Below are 21,017 nucleotides of genomic sequence, written 5' to 3' on the forward strand. Positions count from 1 at the left end.
CAGTATTGCTGAGGCTGACAAATTCTGGTTTAAATAAATATCCAATTTGGAGGATGAGTCTTTGTCTTTTTCCTTCTTCTGCGTATTGGTCTCCAGATTTTCCACTTCTTCAGTTAGTTTTTGTGACTGTAGAATCTTAAAAAAAAAAATGAAAACTTTGGCCGGGTGCAATGGCTCATGCCTGTAATCCCAGCACTTTGGGAGGCCGAGGCAGGTGGATCACGAGATCAGGAGATAAAGACCATCCTGGCTAACATGGTGAAACCCTGTCTCTACTAAGCCAAAATACAAAAAATTAGCCAGGCGTGGTGGCGGGCGCCTGTAGTCCCAGCTACTCAGGAGGTTGAGGCAGGAGAATGTTGTGAACCCGGGAGGCGGAGCTTGCAGTGAGCCAAGATCGCGCCACTGCACTCCAGCGTGGGTGACAGAGCGAGACTCCATCTCAAACAAAAAAAAAAAAAAAAAAAAATGAACATGTCATCCATACTTCTAAGGTGTTGTAAAGATGTGTAAAGTTTTCACTTTTTGCATCATATTCACATGTGGCTATATGCCCTTTTCTCTTCAAAGTTTTCTTTATCTTGATTACTTATCAGAGGCTTGACTGTTTTATTATCTCAGTCTTTTGAAAGAATCCTCCTTTAGTTTTATTTTTTAAATCTAGTGGTTTTTCTTTTTCCTTTTTCCTTAGGTCTTAATTATTTCCCCCTTTTTGTTTGCTTTGCTTTTCCTAGTTTAGTGGATCAATGTAATTTAAATTGCTTTTTAAACAAACATGTAAGGGTATACATTTTCGTTGGGTGCTGTTTGACTTTGTTGCACAAGTTTTAAAATCTTTTTTTTAATAGCTTGTATTTTCTAAATTATTTTATTGCATCTTTTGTTCACATTGCTCTTACTATTAATTTTTTATTTTTATTAATTAATTAATTTATTTATTTAATTATTAGATGGAGTCTTGCTCTGTAGCCAGGCTGGAGAGCAGCGGCATGATCTTGGCTCACTGCAAGCTCCACCTCAGAGGTTCATGTCATTCTCCTGCCTCAGCCTCCCAAGTAGCTGAGACTACAGGTGCCTGCCACCATGTCCGGCCTTTTTTGTATTTTTAGTAGAGATGGGGTTTCACCGTGTTAGCCAGGATGGTCTCGATTTCCTGACCTCATGATCCACCCACCTTGGGCTCTCAAAGTCCTGGAATTACAGGCATGAGCCACTGCACCCTGCCCAAAAAGCTTTGTGTTTTTACAGATATTAGACATGTTTCTTGTTTAAGAAAAAAAATCTTAACGAAAACGTAGGAGAATAAGAGAAACATTTTTCCAAAAAAGAGAAATCATTGTGATTATTTTATCTTATTAGAATGTTGGATAATATAGTCTGCTTCATTAATCATCAAGCATGCTATGCATTTTCCATTTTTATAGGATCTGTATCTCAGTTAAGGTAATACTGGTAATTTTTGTACTGTAATCAAAGATGAAAAATATAGGCCAAAATCATGGACCTTGCATAGAAGCTGGATAATGAAGACAGCTATGGAGAAAAACATAGATACACACACACGGACACACATATATATAAAGTATACACACATATATTTTTTAAAGTTTTAAAGCTTTTAAAGCAAAAGCCGGCCCCTCTTCTCTTCCAGAGTGGGAGGCCTCTCCCCTCTCTTAGAGTGGGTGGGGAGAGCAGTTGCCATGGGCAGCTTTCCTTGTGAGCCACAGGTCCCTCTGGACACACTGCTTTCTGGCCACGCCCCCTTTCCTTTTCATCTTTCTCATTGACCAATGGGCTTGGAGCATTAAGGCCACGCCCCTATTCCGCATTCTACTGGGGCCCTGGTTACGCCTCCTCTGGCTCAGTCACACAGCTGCCTGGTAGGTGACTGGAGGCCTTGATCGGTTCTCATTGAGATTTTGCTGCTGTGACCCCAACCCTGCCTCCCTCCCCACCCTGCGATGGCAGAAGAAACTCAACACAACAAATTGGCTGCAGCCAAGAAAAAGGTAAAAACGCACTAGGTCATAGCCCCTCAACCCAGCCACAGATCCCCTCTGATGACAAGACCCCTGCCAGAGTCTATACGACTCCTGAGGCACACTGGACTGGTCCCCCCTACCCCGGTGCCTCTGGGCTACCCCCACCAAAGTTTTGTCAGTCAGCCCCACCCCTTCAGCAAGCAGCCCAGTCCTTGCCCTCGCCAATCACCCCAGGGTGACTTTGGGTGGGTGAGTCCTGGGGCTTCCCGCTCCATTACTGGGCCCTCATCTCCTGCCGCCCCAAGCTTGATCTCCCTGGGCTCTTTGGGCTCTCATCTCCAAGGAGCCAGGCCCCACCCTCGCCAGTCATCCCTGGGTGACTTTGGACTGGTGACTCCTGGGACTCCCTGCTGCAGACTGTGCCCTCCCCTCCTGCTGCCTCAAGGTCGACCTCCCTGGGTTCTTTGTGCTGGCGTCTCCAAGGAGCTGGGTCCCAACCCTGTGCTTCCCTCCCCCATCGTGGAGCAGCGACTTGGACATGGTGCTGACATGGTCCCTCCCCCCGACCAGGAGGAGTGGAATGTTGTGATGTCACAGTCCACCTAGTAACTGCTGTTACTGCAAGACTGGCCTTTGATCTTACGACCCAGTCCCCTAAGCGTTCTCACCCCGTTTCTGGTTCCTCTGGTCACAGCACAAATTTCCAGCTGGAAGGGGAATGGAGACTATGGGACCTAGGAGCAAGAGGTTCCAGGCTGCCTCACTCCCTTACAGATGTTGACGGTGGGAAAAGCCTACACTTCCCCCATGAACTCAAAACGTTGACAGTATCTCTGGGTGGCAATGAGAGAATGCGTTTGGTTTGGTTTTCTCCCAGGCTTCTACTTTCCAGAGAGATTTTAACATTTTTTTCTGAGTTCTCCACCTCATATTCTAATTCTCCATGGTTCTGGGACCAGACTCTCCTTCAGTCAGTGGTCTCTGAAGTGACATTTGCTCATCTTCTGTGGAATAGATCTTGGGAAACTGAACTTGACACCTTGAATCTTCCTCATATTATCTCAACCTTGGGTACTTTGAGTGCCACAGGATAAATGTGGGACATCTTTCTGAAGCATCAGTTTCCCTTGATTCTCTTGAGATCAAGAGAAAAAACATGAATGTACTTAGGGATGACAGTCACATAGGTTTCTAAGAGTATACCAGACCTCTCTCTGAAATGAGGCTTGGGTTGTCCTCTTTCTGATAAATTCTGATTTAAGAGAAAGGCTGCCTTCTGCCATGAGGACACATTGATATAAGAGTTTGAGAGGTACTGGTGCACTTCTTCACACTAACAGACGTGTGAGGATGTATGACTCTAAACCACATGGCATACAGTTCCTGCCTACTTAATGTTTACTTTTCTACCTCTGCCTCTGGTTTTGGTCCCTGGCAGCTGCTGATTCTTGGCAAAACCTCAGAGCTTGGAGTCAGAAGACTGAGTTTCAAAGTTCCAGTATTGCCTTTTTCTTTTTTTTTTTCTAGCCATGATATCAATCCTTCTCAGTCACTAAATGAGTGTGACAACACCTTGTACAGTTGTTGGTGTCATTAAATCAGATGGTGTGTAAGTGTATTTTGTAAAAACTGTAAAGGAGGATGTGGCTGTAGGGGCTGACGGTTCTCATGAGTATTACTGCTCTTCTTTCCAACAGTTAAAAGAATATTGGCAGAAAAACAGCCCTAGAGTTCCAGCAGGAGCGAACAGGAACAGGAAAACAAATGGCAGTATCCCTGAGAAAGCCACTTCTGGTGGTTGCCAGCCACCTAGGGATGTGAGTCTTGGCTGACCAGGCTTCTGGGGACAGGGGGCCCAAGGGGCAGTAGAGGGTAATTGTTAAGATTGTGGATGGACTGCTGGGTACTGGTTAAGAATTCTGGCTTTAGCCGGGTGTGGTGGCCCACGCCTGTAATCCTAGCACTTTGGGAGGCCAAGGCAGGCGGATCATGAGGTCAGGAGATCGAGACCATCCTGGTTAACACGGTGAAACCCTGTCTCTACTAAAAATACAAAACATTAGCCAAGCGTGGTGGTGTGTGCCTGTAGTCCCAGCTACTCAGAAGGCTGAGGCAAGAGAATGGTGTGAACCTGGGAGGTGGAGCTTGCAGTAGCCAAGATTATGCCACTGCACTCCAGCCTGGTGACAGAGCAAGACTCTGTCTCAAAGAAAAAAAAAAAAAGGAATTCTGGGTTTGAATCCTGCCTCTCCATCTGCTCTGCTAGGGATATGATTTAGGGCAAGTTGCTAGACCTCATCGGGCCTCTCTTTTCACATCTGTATAATAGAGGTGTTATTGTTTCACTTCCATTTGTGAAGTTTAAATGAGATTTGTTATTGTTGTTTTTATGTTAATCCCTAGTACATGGCCTGCTGTAAACACTCAGGACACCCAGGATATGGTTTGATTTTCCTCATCCCCAGTCTCAGGGGGAAACCAGGACAATGAGAACAGCCACTTGCCATCAGGAGTCACTGAAGGGGCCCCAGGATGGGATGGTGGGGAGATAAGAACCATGAGAGAAGTTGGCACAAAGGAGTTATGGGACAAAAGGTCCAAGATAGGCAGAAAAGAAAATGTTGCCAGTTGATGGGGAAGAAAGGAAGTCAGAGGGCTCAGACACTGTGGGGGACAGAACATCTCCATGTGCACTCTCATCTCTTGTAGTCAGCAACAGGTTTCCACAGGGAAGGCCCTACATCATCTGCTACCCTGAAAGATCTGGAGGTAAGAGGCTCTGGGCGGAGGTGCAGTGACCCTTCGGGTCAACCCTCCAACCTCCTCCTCCAGGTGGGACTGGGTGCCCCTCTGCCAGCTGAGACAGCCCACACACCCCAGCCCTAATGATTGTTCTCTCTACCTCTCCCCCCACTCCTGCTCCACCTCCTCCTCTCTGCATGCACCTCAGAGCCCGTGCCAAGAACGAGCAGTAGTCCTGGATTCAAGGTCCGTAGAAATCAGTCAACTGAAGAACACCATCAAATCTCTGGTAAGAGTCCACTGGGGTCCCCTGATTCCACGCTGCCAATCCTGGGCTCCAGTTTCCCCTTGGGGCCCTGAAGAAAGGGGCTGGGGGTCCCTGGTGCCTGGGACAAATAGGGAGCTTGGGTGCCCAGGCCTCACCTGGAGGGACCCCAGAGCATGCAGCATGGCTCTTCTTTTGCTGCCCTCTTTGCCGACTCTCTCCTCTCCAGACACCCCTGCTCGAGTCCTTGCTACACACGCCCTGGGGTTGTTGCCTCTTGGGGAAGTGCTAGCCTGACTGGTTGTCAAGGGCCCCGTATTTCTGCCATGACTCAGTCCCTAATTTGCTCTTTGATTCTGGACAAGCCACCTCTCCTTTTTGGGCTCGTGTTTCCAGAGGAGGTAGTGAGTATCAAAGGTCTCTGTTAGCTCTCGAGTCTGAGATTTAAAGGCCCCCTAGAACGGAAACCTCAGGGCTAAGGGCTCCTGTCTGTCCTTTTCCATCCTATATCTGCTGTAAAGAACCGTACCTGGCCCATACATGCTCAGTAAATGTTTATTGAATGAACCCACTTCTCTAAATCACAAGCTGCCAGAAGGAGGGGCCTTTCTGAAACTCCATCTCTAGAGGTTTATATTGCTGTCCTCTCAAGAGATTCCAGATTCAGACTTTGAGTTCTGTGGCTGTGGGCAAAAGCCAACAAAGACCCAAATCCTCTGTCCTTGGGAGCTTGAGGAGAGTTTACCGGTTCGTGTTCCCATTATGTCTGAGAACTTTGCCTTTAAAATCCATTCCTGGCCCCTGCCTACCGCTTCCTGGTCTGGGGAATAGAGTTGAGGGGGCCACCCTCCATCACCTTATTTGACTCTCCCCACAGAAACAACAGAAGAAACAAGTGGAACATCAGCTGGAAGAAGTAACGTGATTTCGTTTCCTCGCAACATGACTGCTGGGTTTGGGGGGCACTCAGACATACAGGCCCCAGTCTCGTCTCACCCACTCCCAGCCTGGGGATGAAGGCTCACCCTTCAGATTCCACCCCATCCCCACAGGGCCCCTGATAACCTGGTCCCATGGGTGGGCCTGTCCTGGGGCATTGGTGGCATTCTGGGGGCATGTCTCTTGCTGTGCCATCTCTGCCTCCCCCTGGTAAGAGCTCTGTCTTCCTCTTCCTACAGGAAAAGAAAGCAAACAACAAGAAACAGAAAGCCAAAAGGGTGCTAGAGGTGAGTGGAGGGTGTGCAGTTTCCTCCTGTCCTCCGGAGAAGGTTTCTTTCCTTCTCTTTCAGCACTTGCTTGGCTTTTCTCCCAAAGGTTCAAATCCAGACATTGAACATACAGAAAGAGGAACTAAATACGGACCTGTACCACATGAAACGTTCTCTCAGATACTTTGAAGGTGGGAATCTGGGCACCCTGTCATCCTTCAACCTGGCACTTTGACAGGTCTTCAGGGGGAGTCCTTTGGGCCCCATCTCAACTCTCTCATTACAGAAAAGTCCAAGGATCTGGCTGTCCGCCTGCAACATTCATTGCAGCGTAAAGGAGAGTTAGAGAGTGTTCTCTCTAATGTCATGGCCACACAGAAGAAGAAGGCAAACCAGGTGAGTCCAACCACCTGCCCCATCCCCTGGGAGCCTGGCTTTGCAGATGGAGGAGTGAGCCTAAAGGTCCCTTCTGCAGGATGGAGTGTCCTGCCCAGAAGGCAGCATGGCCATTTCTTGCTACTTTTTTGTATGGTTTTTAATGGCAGCCTGGGGCTGAGTCAGCTGCTGTGGGTGAGTTGGGGGTCACTGTGTGGAGTGAGCACTGGACGCAGAGCTTGGAGGCCAAGTGCCTGCCCCGCCCTTACCTGTCTGTGGTCTTGGGCAAGTCCTAGTCCTAGGTGGGGTATTGGGTACTTGTACTGTGAAGGTACAGAAGAGTACCTTTAGTATGTTACCATTTCTGTAGAAAGAGGAAACGTGTGTGCGTGTGTGTGTGTGTGTGTGTGTGTGTGCATACTGTGATAATATACATAAAACATGTCTGCAAGGGTTCATAAAAAATTCAGGAGAGAGCAACAAGATGGCCGGGAGATACTTCCCTTCTGTACCTTCTGAGTTTTGGACTATGCAAATGTATCATCCTTTCAAAAAGTGAACAAAAGATTAATTTTCCCCTTCCTATCTGTGCCCCCATCCCCAGCAAGAAAAACGGGCTTAGAGAATTGGATAGACCTGGGTGTTTATATCCCAGCTCTGCCTAAGTGAACTTAGGCAAGCACTTAACCTCAAATACTCCATGTTTTTTCATCTCCACAATAGAGGGAATCATAGTAACTGTCTCCTATGGTGGTTGCGAGGATTAAATGGGATTGTTAGCACGGTACCTGGTGAAGCATTCCACAAAGGTTCAAACAGTGGTAATAATAACAGTAATAACAATAGCAATATTATCTGATCTCTCTGGGCCTCTGTTAGCCAGCTATAAACTCAGTCTCATTCCCTGTCCGTTCCAACTTTACTGAGTTCTTTTAAAAACCAGACCACGGGCTTGGAAATGCCTTGATCTTTACTGACCGAGTTGTATATTGGGCCTAGCCCTAGCCCTTTTAAGGGGCACTGTGTGGAAATGCCCAGGCTCTCCAGATTGAAACTTCTCACTCTTCACCATCCAGTTGTCCAGCCGCAGCAAAGCACGTACGGAGTGGAAGTTAGAGCAGTCCATGCGGGAGGAGGCACTACTGAAAGTGCAGCTGACACAGGTGAGGTTTTCTGAGGGAGTTATGTGGAAGGAAGATGACCCCAGGTGGCCAGGAGCAGGTGAGGACCAGTGACAGCCCTTCCTAAGTTCTGTGCCCATTCTTGCAGTTCAAGGAGTCATTTCAACAAGTCCAATTAGAAAGAGATGAGTATTCTGAACATCTAAAAGGAGAGAGGGCCCGGTGGCAGCAGAGGATGAGAAAAATGTCGCAGGAGGTGAGATCTGACCCTTCAGCCCCCCCACATTAGATAGGTCACTGGATCTTTCTGGTCATCTGTAAAATGGGAATAGTAGAGCCAGAGGTGGTCATGGGTCTGGGCTTTGTGGAGGTGGGGGCAGAGAGGGAGAGGGCAGCCTGTCCAGCCTCCAGCCCCTCTCTCCAAGGCCCTTTCCCCTTGTGCTTTGGGCAGATTTGCACATTAAAGAAAGAGAAGCAGCAAGATATGCGTCGGGTAGAGAAGCTGGAGAGGAGCTTGTCCAAACTCAAAAACCAGATGGGTAAGATGGGGCTGGCATGACCTGGGAGCAGGACTGGCATCAGAGGGCTGTGAGGGTGGCTTAGAGTGCCCCAGGGAGGTGGGTGGATGGAAGGGCTTTGAGGCAGAGGGAAAGAGATCTGTGCCAGGAGACGGCGAGTCTTGTCATCTCAATGAGTCTCAGTGTCTCAGTGTCCCCATCAGCAAAGAGGGCCCATTGTCAGCCACCCGCAGTGCTCTTTCTCTGAAAGTGCTTTGGAAGACTGGCTACCATCTGGGTGCGAGGAATCATTAGCAGTGAGGCCAAGTTTGAGGAGCCTGAGAGGAGCTGTGCGCCAAGAGGAGGGTTTTTCTTTTCCGAGAATCCAGAGGCCCTTATTATCTGCTTCCTTTGTCAGCTGAACCCTTGCCCCCGGAGCCCCCAGCAGTGCCCTCTGAGGTGGAGCTGCAGCACCTGAGGAAGGAACTAGAGAGAGTGGCAGGAGAGCTCCAGGCCCAGGTCAAAAACAATCAGCGCATAAGTCTCCTGAACCAGCGACAAGAAGAGAGGATTCGGGAGCAGGAAGAGAGGCTTCGGAAGCAGGAGGAGAGGATTCAGGAGCAGCACAAGAGCCTTCAGCAGCTGGCCAAGCCACAGAGCGTCTTCAAGGAGCCGGTGCGTTGCCCAAACTGGGGAGCTTGCCCTCCTCCCTAGACCTCCGGGCCTTTGTTTCCCCACCTCTAAAATGGGGCAGTGTAGCCCTCACATGAAATGTTACTTCTAAAGGCACCTGTGAGCCAGGTGGCTGTGGGAGAGAGGGGGTGATTTTTCTAACCTGCCTCCAGCCTTCCCAGTGCCATGGGAGGCAGACACCAAGTTCTGGGGTCTCCAGCTGCAGTGGGTGGCTGCTGATTGCTTCTCTCTGTCCAGAACAATGAGAACAAGAACGCACTGCAGTTGGAGCAGCAAGTAAAGGAGCTACAGGAGAAGCTTGGCGAGGTGAAGGAGACGGAAACCTCCACCCCATCCAAGAAGGGCTGGGAGGCGGGCAGCAGCCTCTTGGGAGGGGAGGTGCCAGGCCAGAGGCAGCTTCCAGCCTGGGGGCTGGTGACCACAGCACCCCCCAGGGCAGTCCTGTGACTGTTTCTTGCTTCCTGCCTCTGACTTTTAAAGGTGGGTAGCCCTGGGCTCCTCTAAGGTCTGGACATCATCATCCCAGCTAGAGGCATGGAGCCCCCAATCACAGGGGAAGAGACAGTGCTATAACAGGCTCCTTATACCAGGTGCAGTGGCTCATGCCTATAATCCCAGCACTTTGGGAGGCTGAGGCAGGAGAATCACTTGAGGTCGGGAGTTTGAGATCAGCCTGGCCAATGTGGTAAAACCTCATCTCTACTAAAATTACAAAAAAAAAAAAAAAAAAAAATTAGCAGGACATTGTGGCGCATGCCTGTAATTCCACCTACTCGGGAGGCTGAGGCACGAGAATTGCTTCAACCCAGGAGGTGGAGGTTGCAGTGAGCTGAGATTGCACCACTGCACTCCAGCCTGGGCCACAGAGTGACACTCTTGTCTGAAAACAAAACAAAAAGACTCCTTAGATTGAAACTGGATTCCAGCCTCGGTTCCACTGGTCACCATTCAAGTACTTTGCATCTCTAAGTCTCTGTTTCTTTAACTTCAAAGGGAAGTTAGCATTTTCCTTACAGAGGTGCTGAGGATTAAATGAGAAGAGGGTATGAGATTTGAGGCTGGGGAAGGAGGCATGGGGTTCTAGGAAAGGGAGGCAGTCACTTAGGCCTGGAGTAAGGGGACAGGGGCCTGGGCAGCTGACAGAGCCCCACAGTGCCCTCGCTACCCTATTAATGGGCCCAGAATCTGGAAACCAGCCACCACGTGCCCTCACACCCAGGGTCTTCCTGCAGGTGGAGCTGAAGAGCCAAGAGGCTCAGAGTCTGCAGCAGCAGCCAGACCATTACCTGGGTCACCTGCAGCAGTACGTGGCCACCTATCAGCAGCAGGTGGCCGCCTATCAGCAGCTGACCTGTGAGAAGGAGGCGCTGTACAGGCAGTGACTGCAGCAGACCCAGCTAATGAACCAGCTGCAGCAGCAGGAAGCTTGGGGCAAAGCGGTGGCTGAGATGGCCTGCCAAAAGTTGCAGGAGACCCAGGGGAGGGAGCTGCCGAGGATGGGGCTGTGAGGGGGATGACCTGGCAAACTCCACCCCTTCTCACTCTGTCCTGGCCCCTTAGGAGCACCTGGAAGCTGCCAGCCAGCAGAACCAGCAGCTAACGGCCCAGCTGAGCCTCATGGCTCTCCCTGGGGAAGGTACGGGAGACTGCTCAGAGGAAGAGGAGAGAGCCCCAGGAGGAAGGGGGGACTGCTAGCAGCATAGGATTGAGGAGTTGGAAGAGACCTTTAGAACAGCTGGTCATTATGCCGACCGGGTGCCTGCACTAAGTTCGGCATCAGTGTGGTGACCTCCTGTGAGCGGGGGGTCACCAAGTTGCCTAAGGATGGCTGAACTGGCCAAGGTCAGAAAGGGAGCAGGTCAGAACTCCCACATCGACCAGTAGTGGGAGTGTGCCTGGGCGGAATAGCAAGATCTTGATTCTTAAAAGTAAAAATAAAGAACAACAGCTCATTCCTCTCTGGGGAGGGGCAGGCTCAGGGTTACACAGTGAGGGTGGAGGTAGAGGTGGGCCCACAGTACCTCCCTTGTTGGGTTGTCTGAAGACCCGTCTGACCACCCCCCACAGGACACGGAGGAGAACATCTGGACAGTGAGGGGGAGGAGGCACCTCGGCCCATGCCGAGTGTCCCAGAGGACCCGGAGAGCAGGGAGGCCATGGTGAGCCTGACTCCCCCTGCACCCATTTTGCCACCTTTCTCTGTGGTCCCTCCAAGACCCCTTTATGCTCTTCGTTTCCCTGCCTTCTGATTTCTCTGGACCCTCACCCCTTCCGAGAGCCAGTGGTCAGACACCATTTCACCTGTGGCCAACAGGTGCACTCTCTGAGGCCCCAAGGGAAGGGGTTGCGCTCCACCTCTCTGCCCCATTTCTTCTGTGTATGCCCCTAGAAGAATGCTCACATCTTGCCCTCAGGTGGCATTTTTCAAGTCCGCTGGAGCTAGTGCCCAGGAGAAGCAGGCACAGTTACAAGAGCAGGTGAAAGAGCAGAGGGTGTCCTGCCAGCGCCTGGCTCACCCGGTGGCCTCGGCCCAGAAGGAGCCAGAGGCAGCCAGAGGCCCTGGAGCCCCAGGGCCTGGGGGCGAGTCTGTGAGTGGGGAGACCCACTGGGCCCTGCAGGAAGTCACGGAGAAGCTGGCCCATGCCAGGACTCACCTCCACCTTCTCCATGACTTGAAAATGCCACCTGAGGGCAGGTCGCTGCCGAGATGTGACTGCAATATTTTGGCTCCAGAGCAGCTTTATGGACCACCTGGAGGAGAAGGCAGACCTGAGTGAGCTGGTGAAGAAAAAAGAACTCTGCTTCATCCACCACTGGCGAGAGAGATGCCATCAGTGAGTGGGAGGCCAGGGCACGGCAGGGGGAGCTACAGGGCCGTCGGAGGGGCCCCAGCGTCTGAGCCCTGTCCTCCCGCAGGAAAACCCATCACCTTTTATCAGAACCAGGGGGCCGTGCCAAAGATGCGGCACTGGGAGGAGGACACCATCAGGCTGGAGCTCAGGGAGGAGATGAAGGTAGGGTGTGCAACATTTCTGTGGGGGTGGGGGTGGGGGTGGGTGTGAGGGTGGGCGCAGGCAGCGGCATGGCAGCTGAGCACCCCTCCCTCCAGGTGAAGCTGCTGGAGCTGCAGCAGATGGTATTGCGGCTTACAGCAACTACAACAATGGGCACAGAAAATTCCTGGCCGCTGCCCACAACTCTGCTGATGAGCCCGGTCCAGGAGCCCCAGCCCCCCAGGAGCTTGGGGCTGCAGACAAGCATGGTCGTGAGTAGAGCCCTCAGGTGGGGTGGGCAGGCAGGAAGAGGGGGCTCCCACTGTGCTCAGATCCCTGCCTCCCTCTCTCCAAAGATCTTTGTGAGGTGAGCCTCACCTCCTCTGCCCAAGGAGAGGCCAGGGAGGATCCTCTCCTTGACAAGCCTACTGCACAGCCGATCGTGCAGGACCACCAGGAGCACCCAGGCTTGGGCAGCAACTGCTGTGTGCCATTCTTGTGCTGGGCTTGGCTGCCAAGAAGAAGGAGATAAACATCACCATCCTCAAAGAGCTGCTCAAGAAATTTTTAAATAAGAAACCAAGTTATGGGGTTAATCTCCTACACAATTCATTTACTTCCTTTGAATGTTAGAGTCACTCATGATTATTTGTTTTTCTAATTTATAGTTTTAAGTTTATTTGTAAAAAGTTAAAAGAGAGTGGGTGTCTGTGGCTCTCACTGATGTTCACTCTGGCATCCTTTAGCATTTTTCTTTTTTAATTTCATAATTGTAGGTCATTAGCGTGCATATCGAGTTTGCCCTTACGTGGTGGGAGTTCAAACACACAAAGACCCACTCTTTGCCCAAAACTGTTCTCTTTGGTTTGGAATAGGCTGCCATGCTTTTTTAATGTTATTGCAGCATGTATATTCACTACAGAATTCAGACAAAATTTGCCTATGTTCTGCTGTTGTTTGATCTAATCTTAATCACAGTGAGCTCTTCATTAGCTCAATATGTAGTTTGCCCCCAAGTGTGCACTGTTTATTACTTTGTAATATGCCACTATGAGTACTGACATTTAGAGTTGTTTAAAGGCCAAGAACTGGAAACAGCCTTTCCTCCATTTTCTGTGTGTTGGTGATGGGAGTGATAACCTTTTGGGGGAGCTTTTTAAATCTCACAGAAGAGGAAAGTGGCCTCCTCTGGCAGGTACGTGCAGGATAGAGTGTGTTTCATCTGTTCCGGTGCCCGGAATTAGCAGTGTATTATGGTGGTTCCCTTAGGATTTGTATGTGCTCTGGGCTCATGAAGATACTGCATCATGAGCTGCAGCAGTTGTACTCTTTTTCGATGACCTAAAAAGGGCTTATTTCTGAGGAATGAAAGGTTCCCATCATTGACTGTGGATGTGGGAAACCTTTCCTAGCTTAGAGCATTTGTATCTACAATACATTTTAAAGTCAGAGTTCATGTTACCTGTTTTAATCACATGACTACATGTCCCAGTACACAAAAGGGCACTGGTTGGCATTCTTCTTAATGTATTTAGTGAAGATCATAAGAAATCCTTTATGAGTTCAAACGTTCCTGGAACAGGCATACAGGCTCTAGTCAAGAATGAATTAGAGTGAAGGAAAGCTGTGTGACACCTGGCATTCCTCTCTGTTCACGGAGATTCTTTGAGGCTTGAAGATTGATTTTACCATCTAGACCTCTTTGGCTAATACCTATTCTTCAACCACCTTGGTTACTCTGACATAGGAATTTACTTCTTTTTCTTTGAATGGAAAACACTTTAAAAAATAATAGAAACATTATTATAAACTAATATATGTGAGATACTTAGTTGAAACAAAAAGGAGTTTTAGTAGACGGTATTGTACTCTCTTTGAAAATCAAGGAGAAGTTTATGAAACTTAAAATGTGTACAAACTGCAGTGCAATCTACTGTTCGTGAATGTCAATGTATTATCAGGAAACGTGTCTATACAATCACAGAGTTATATTTTCTCACAGACTTCTTTACAAAGTGAAATATGTTTTTGTACCTCTGGGTTTCTGTTCGGGACATATTTTGTGCAATATTTATGTGATTGTGCCTATGCATGATGAATGAATACATTTCAGTTATATATTGCCTAAATCATAACTTGATGATGCTTGGGAAAGACTCAACAGTTAAAACTTCATGAAGTTCTAATGTCTGTGTTCCAAAACACATCACATTGTTAGGATGCAGGGAGATAGGTGTGTGTGCTCCCTGCGGTGGGGATTTCTAGTTACTAGATCATCTCCATTTTTAGCATTTGGCATCCTCATGATACTTCTATAAATATGACATTAACAGGAGAGCAACAATACGATTTTACCGATGGAATAACAGATTTGCTGGCATTCACTGAAAGAGTGCAAATATTCGGTCCTTGTGACTTCCACTGACTCTTCCAAATTTTATGAATGTATCAATGTATTAGATAAACCCAGTTTCAGAATGATAAAGAAAAAATTTAGACCAAATAATGCAGCTAATTAACAGTGGTACGATTTGTAGCCCGTGGGTTTAAAATGCACTTAAAGTCCTGTTCTCGCCTTTTATTTTCTGAACTTGCCGCTTTTGCATTCTTTGAGTTCAGTTTAAAGACAGTTACTTTAAGAGCATTTTAAACCCTCGGGCTAGAAATCGGACCACTGTTAATCAGCCACATTATTTGGTCTAACGTTTTTTCTTTTATCATTCTGAAACTGGGTTTATCTAATACATTGATAAATTATTGCAAAGGTACTTTTATCGTTGAAATCACTTCACTTTTACCCTGATAAATATCAGTGACTAGGAATGACCTTCGGATAGCGTTTAGCATCTGTAACCAATCTGACAATAATGTGTTCATGAGGTGCCTATGGATTAAATCACACACTGGCATATTTAAGCTGAAGGTCAGTCTGGAAAATAAATTTACTATATTGACTGAAATACCACTCTTTGTGTAGGTATTTGTCATATATTTAAGAAAAAGTTAAAAAGAATGGAAATTGTATGACAATAACTCAAGTCTTTCTCCAAAGTGCATGCAGTCTTTTGCGATACCTCATTCAGCCGAGTATTTGTGCTCTTCCTCATTCAGTATAAGGCAGCTTTCAGTTTGCTTAGAAGGCAACATTGGAATGTTAGAGTTCATCAGAAACATAGAATTTTAAACTGTGAGTTCCACTGAATACATTTTAATGTCTGTAGGAAGAATCAAAACACCTATTTAAAGATGGCAATATATAATAATCATTTTAAAAGTATTTGATTCAACCTGATAATTTTCCAGAAATGAAAAAAAAAAATCAGCTCTAAAACCAAAGCTGATTTTAGAAAATTTGAAAATGTAAATCAGCCCTATCCATAATATAGTTTCTCTAAAACTTTATTTTAAAGAGTCATTTTAAAATAATATAACTATTAAAAAATGTAACTGCTATCTTAATGTTCTGAAATAATTTAAAACATTTTAAAATATGAATACTGTAGTATAAAAGAAAGAAATGGTGGGAACGAAAAGCAGAGAAAGAAATGCCAATTCCAGTCCAAAGTTTTATTTGCCAAGTTTTCTTAGAATGAATTTTACCAGTTTATGAATTATTGTAAAGAGAATGTGTCGTGGAAATACTGAAAGATTTTTCCCTAGAGTGGCCTTATTGACTGCTGGTGTGATGCCACTGTAATGTAATAAATTATTAAGTTGTTTCAATGTGTTGTTTTTGTCTTAAAATTTTATTTTGCGTTTCTTGAAAACTATAGTATTAAAGGTATTGATACTGTGCAAATGCTGGGCATGCTTGGCATGAGATAATGTGTTTCATTTTTACAAAGTTGTAATATAACTATGCAAGTGTTTCTTAAAAGAACACAAGATTTTAAAAGTTATGGGATTAAAAAAGTTATGGGGTGAAAAAGTTATGGGATAAAAAATGTAAAAACGTTGTGGCAAAAAAACTTGTGGGAACAAAGTAGAAAACAGTATTATGAAAAGTTACCAAAAAAGTTATGAAAAAGAAGTTACGGGATTCTTTTTTAAAAAGTCATGGAATAAAAATAAAAATTAAAAGCAGGCCCCTGTCAGCAAAGCCTGGAGAAGTGGGGCTGGGGTCTCCACCGCCACCATGTCCCTACCACCCCTTCCCAGGCACCCCTTTACAATTAGGGTAGCAGGACAAGACCTCTGTCTAATGGGGAAAGACAAACAGACCCTTTGCCACCCTGACCAGGGCTGAGTCCCTAAATTTCTGGATGATGATGATTGTTATTTAAGAGCCAGAGGCTGGTGGAGTTGGTTTGTTTGGAGGAGGCCTGATGTCCCCCTTACTCTCACCATAGCAACTTTTCCCTCAGGGGGGCTCCCTTCTTATTCAGAGAGGCAGGACAGTGGGGCTAACTGTGGACCAGGCGAGGGCACGGGCTGCTGGGGTGGCCCCCGTTCCCCGGTGTACACATTGTGTCTGTGTAAGGTTTTGTATATTCCAGAGGGTAGGGCCACCCCTGTGTCATACCTAGCTGAGGTTGGAGCCGGCACATGGGGAGGAGGTTGTAATAATTATTTGTGGCTGGGAAACTTATTTATTGCTAGCATAGGACAGAGGAAGGAGGCGGGGATGGGGTCATGGCTCCCTGGTGATGCGACTCCTGTTTATTTTGCTTTTTATTTTGGAATAAATGGATTTAGCCATACTGCTCGGCCTGGTGTGTTTCCGTTTCCCTCACTGGGTCCTGGAGTTTGTGCCACCAAACAAGGAGTCCCAGAGTGTCTTGAGCATGTCCAGCTAGGCTGTTGGGGACCTTCCAGGCGTGTTACCTGTATGCTGCCTGGTGGCGCCTGGGGGATTCCAAGGGGACTGCCATGTAGTCTATGGGGCGCAGTCTGGCCCTGACAGCCAACAGGCTCAGAAGCCTGATCTAGCGGTGGCCGGGAAGACAGGTACCAGCACCTAAGGGCACTGACTTCCACCCAGCCCCGGCATCTTCCGTTCTATCCCCTTGTCTCCCTCTCCTGTCTGCACCTGGTGGCCTGTTCTGTCTGTGCCTCCAGAGTGCCGGCTGCCCTGCAGGCTCCCTCTGGGCTGAGTTCATGGCCCTGCCCCCTGGTGGCCAGAGCCGGCTTCACAGGATAAGAGCCCGCTAAGCTCCAGGGGCTTTCCAGGAAAAGTGTCCCTTGGAAAGGGCATGGCCTTTTCACTGCTCCCAACAGCACCCTAGAAATGGCTTGGCCTTTCCCCTCCCCTGAGCTCCACAGAGAACACAGCCAGCAGAGGACACACTTCCCCGCCATCCAGAAGCGGGTTTGATTCTCAGCCAAGGGACAGCAGGACTGGTAGAGACTGTCAGGCCACACAGCTGCCTGCACAGCACTCCCATGCTTGGTGGGGGGGGGGGGGGCGGGAGGGATGGCGGGGTGTGTCTCTCCATAGGCTGGGCGTGACAGGGAGGCTCACTGAAGGTAGCGCACTTTGGAGGGGCAATGTCAGGGGTTAGCTTTCTCTTGTTTGGCCACAAGACTCCAAAAGGACAGCACGGTGACTGATTCCCAGCGCTAGAGGCGAGGCGGTTGGCCACATGTAGGTGTGTGTGTGTGTGTGTGTGTGTGTGTGTGTGTGTGTGTATGTATATGGGTATTTGTAGATATTTCTAGAACAGGGCAGGGGCATACCACAGAGGGGGGCACAAGTTTTCAGCAACGGTCACACCTGGATGTGTCAGCTCACCGCAACAATAGACGAAGTCACAGATGAAGGGGGCTGCCTTTGGGGCTGGGGGAGCCACTGCCAAGTCACAGAACAGCCGCCCAGGCAGGCTTGGAAAGGGAAGTCTCTGAGAAGAGGAGGAATCTGTTTAGAGGTCAAAGGGGGGCCTGGGGCTCTCAGGATGGGATGGACTTGCCTGAGCCGATTGGCTGGCAGTTGGAGAGAAAGCAGAGAGAAGACAGGAGAGAGAAAAGCGAGCATATCATCTCACACCAGTTAGAATGGCAATCATTAAAAAGTCAGGAAACAACAGGTGCTGGAGAGGATGTGGAGAAATAGGAACACTTTTACACTGTTGGTGGGACTGTAAACTAGTTCAACCATTGTGGAAGTCAGTGTGGCGATTCCTCAGGGATCTAGAACTAGAAATACCATTTGACCCAGCCATCCCATTACTGGGTATGTACCCAAAGGACTATAAATCATGCTGCTATAAAGACACATGCACACGTATGTTTATTGCGGCATTATTCACAATAGCAAAGACTTGGAACCAACCCAAATGTCCAACAATGATAGACTGGATTAAGAAAATGTGGCACATATACACCATGGAATACTATGCAGCCATAAAAAATGATGAGTTCATGTCCTTTGCAGGGACATGGATGAAATTGGAAATCATCATTCTCAGTTAACTATCGCAAGAACAAAAAACCAAACACCGCATATTCTCACTCATAGGTGGGAATTGAACAATGAGAACACATGGACACAGGAAGGGGAACATCACACTCTGGGGACTGTTGTGGGGTGGGGGGAGGGGGGAGGGATAGCATTGGGAGATATACCCAATGCTAGATGACGATTTAGTGGGTGCAGCGCACCAGCATGGCACATGTATACATATGTAACTAACCTGCACATTGTCACATGTACCCTAAAACTTAAAGTATAATAATAATAATAAAAAAAAAGCGAGCAGAGAGCTGGTGAGGCAAGTGCAGAGCACAGGTGTGCCACAGCAGCTGTGGGAGGGCCAAGGAGTAAAGGGTGCACGTGCGGGTGTGGCAAGGTTCCTGGAAAAGAGGGGCTGGAAGGGAAAGGGGAGGAAGACAGAGGGAGGAGCCGGAGTTTCACAGGTAGTGCCTGGGGGCTGTGGCAGCCCTCCCCACCCCACACGTGCTGGCCTCTTCCACGGCACCCAGTGCACCCACTGTTAAGACTGATGCTCAGCCCCTTTGGGCTTCCCTCTTCTCTGGGCACCGTGTCTTCCAACCCACTTGTCCAGGGCCACCTCTCGCCTTGGGGAGCCCAAAACAACAGCCACCAGGCCTGATAGAGAAGAAACACTGCTTGAACCAGGATGATGAAGCTAAAAGGGATGGATGGGTGGAGTGATCGCCGGAGCCCCCTCTGGGGGGTCAGAAAGCCCAGGAACCCTTGAAGGGTCCCTGGGGGAGGAAAGGAGGGCATGCAGCTGGATGCCACTGGCTATAGACTTATAAGTCTAAGAGGGGAGCCTCAGCTTGTTGGGGGTTGCAGGTCGGATAGGTGAGGCTGGGCCCTTCCTGCTGGGAAAAGCAGAAGAGGGAGAGTCTATGGCAGGGGAGGTGGGTGGGCTTGTGGGGCGGAGGTCAGCTGGGCCAGCAGGCACTGTGGTCCCCTTGGCTGAATAGCAGAGGTGACCTCTAGGAGCAACACTCCAAGGTGCGTGAGCCTGCTGGCCAGCAATAGTGCTTCAGCGGGGGCCAGGGACCCTGCCTTCAGTCACACGCTAGCAGCTATGATGGTACCTGGGAGGGAGGGAAGGGGCCTGTGTTTCCTGCCTGGCCTGTGAGGTGTGTTGTGGGTTGACCGTGTGTATGGGACTCTCAAGGTTTTATCCTATCTCACCACTGCATTGCCGACAGATAGAGGAGGTGGGACTCTGACTATCACCCCTGCTCTGCAGTGGATTTGGCTCTCAGCACTCCCAGGCTGGGAGCTGGATGCCCTGCCCTGGCAGCATGACTCAGACTGCCCAACAGGTGCGGTGTGCACAGGAGGACTATCCTAGGACTCTGGCCGCCTCAGAGTACAGCCCCACACACCACCCCCTCTAAGCTCTCAGCCCTTACACCATAAACCACGAGCTCTGTGACGGCTCCAGGGAGCACCCATGTCTACCAGCGTGGGCACGGAGCCTGTTCCAAGAGTCCCCAGGCTCAGCCATGGGGGCTGGGGGGCTTTGGGGCCGTGGGAGCCAGCCTTGGTACCTGCATCCGGCAAGGACGCTCTGCACCTGCAGGCAGGAGTTGTCCACGGGCCCCCATGTGCGTGCTGATGGTGGTCGTGTTGATGTCGCCGATGATGCCGAGTGCCTCCTTCAGCACGTGGTACATGCGCAGCATCTCGTCGCGCCACTGTGCCTGCTCTGCCGACTCTTCCATCAGCGTTTTCTGGTCCCCACGTGAGTACAGGTTGGACAGCAGCTCCGAGAAGATGAACTCCTTGGTCTGAGAGCGGGCAAAGAGGGAAGGAGGTTGGGACCTGATGCCTTTGCTGCCCTGGCCTCCTGCCGGGCCCTGCTGGGACTGTGTGCTGGACTTGGAGCCCTGAGTATGGCTTTTCAGACGCGGCTTCTACACCGCTTAGACTCAAAGATCTGCCTCCCCACCGCCCTTTTCTCACTCAGATAGGGACACTGAGGTCCAAAGGAAAAGTCACCTGTCCAAGGTCACACATCTGGGAGGGGACCCAGGACCTATCATGCCACCAGGACACCGGTCTACTCAGTTTCTTAAAAATGTTTTTTGGAGATAGGATCTTGCTCTGTCGCTAGGCTGGAGGACAGTGGGCGAGATCACCACTCACTGTAGCCTCAACTTCTTGGGCTCAAAGTGATCCTCCAATGTCAGCCTGTCGAGTAGCTAGGACTATAGGTACGTGCCACCACCAAGCCCAGCTATTTTTAAAATTTTAGTGTAGAGATCAGGTCTCACTATGTTGCCCAAGCTGGTCTCGAACTCCTGGGCTCAAGCTATCCTCTTGCCTTGGCCTCCCAAAGTGCTGGGATTACAGACATGGGCCACTGTCCCCAGTCCCACGTTATATTTCTATGAGACAGCTCTGGTCTGGACTGTGCCTCCCTCCCTGGACCTTGGTCCCATAGGGCTGGTCAGCATCTCCCCCAGGCCAACATGGCCACCTGCATCCCCAGTGCTACAGGAGCCCCCTGCCCCTATGAGGCGGTGCATGCACGTTGTTGATCATGACGTGCATGATGGTCTTGGGCATGACACCAACCATGAGGTCCCACACGGTCTTGTTGACAATGGCCATGTAGGAGTCCACAAGGTTCTGGGTGGTTTCCATTTGCCGCTCCAGCTATGGGTCCATGGAGTGCATGAAGCTGTCGGAGCCATTCTCCTCAGCCTTGCTGTCCTGTC

At 49.3% G+C, this 21,017-nt stretch overlaps 1 protein-coding gene and 2 pseudogenes across 5 annotated transcripts, besides 1 other annotated feature; 2 read left to right on the forward strand and 1 right to left on the reverse strand.

The window, feature by feature from the left end:
• Positions 1 to 1,863: 1,863 nt before the first annotated feature.
• Positions 1,864 to 15,599, forward strand: GOLGA8J (golgin A8 family member J). Of its 5 annotated transcripts, none has more exons than NM_001282472.2 (19): positions 1,864 to 2,009; positions 3,680 to 3,799; positions 4,692 to 4,751; positions 4,933 to 5,013; positions 5,867 to 5,905; positions 6,168 to 6,215; positions 6,304 to 6,388; positions 6,484 to 6,593; positions 7,649 to 7,735; positions 7,842 to 7,949; positions 8,145 to 8,232; positions 8,609 to 8,865; positions 9,121 to 9,189; positions 10,444 to 10,519; positions 10,951 to 11,042; positions 11,617 to 11,717; positions 11,800 to 11,897; positions 11,993 to 12,148; positions 12,233 to 15,599. In NM_001282472.2, the coding sequence occupies exons 1-19, from the start codon at positions 1,962 to 1,964 to the stop codon at positions 12,406 to 12,408; spliced, it is 1,899 nt and encodes a 632-aa protein (NP_001269401.1). In that variant the 5' UTR covers positions 1,864 to 1,961; the 3' UTR covers positions 12,409 to 15,599. The 5 variants fall into 5 exon arrangements, 4 of the variants coding, with proteins under 4 accessions (NP_001269401.1, XP_011520252.1, XP_006720714.1 ...); XM_006720651.4 differs by lacking the exon at positions 1,864 to 2,009 and adding an exon at positions 2,677 to 2,765; XR_002957674.2 differs by lacking the exons at positions 11,993 to 12,148; positions 12,233 to 15,599 and having other exon boundaries at positions 11,298 to 11,717; positions 11,800 to 11,892.
• Positions 2,283 to 2,862: an enhancer, noted in NCBI's record as "H3K4me1 hESC enhancer chr15:30375577-30376156 (GRCh37/hg19 assembly coordinates)". NCBI's record gives its function as "activates a minimal SCP1, AML or CMV promoter by ChIP-STARR-seq in naive H9 embryonic stem cells {active_cell/tissue: H9 hESC(naive)}" and the evidence as "EXISTENCE:reporter gene assay evidence [ECO:0000049][PMID:30033119]".
• RN7SL673P (RNA, 7SL, cytoplasmic 673, pseudogene) lies at positions 10,571 to 10,807 on the forward strand (annotated as a pseudogene).
• Positions 17,164 to 21,010, reverse strand: DNM1P28 (dynamin 1 pseudogene 28; annotated as a pseudogene).

This window comes from Homo sapiens, chromosome 15 (genome assembly GCF_000001405.40).
Source record: "Homo sapiens chromosome 15, GRCh38.p14 Primary Assembly".
Lineage (NCBI taxonomy): Eukaryota > Metazoa > Chordata > Mammalia > Primates > Hominidae > Homo > Homo sapiens.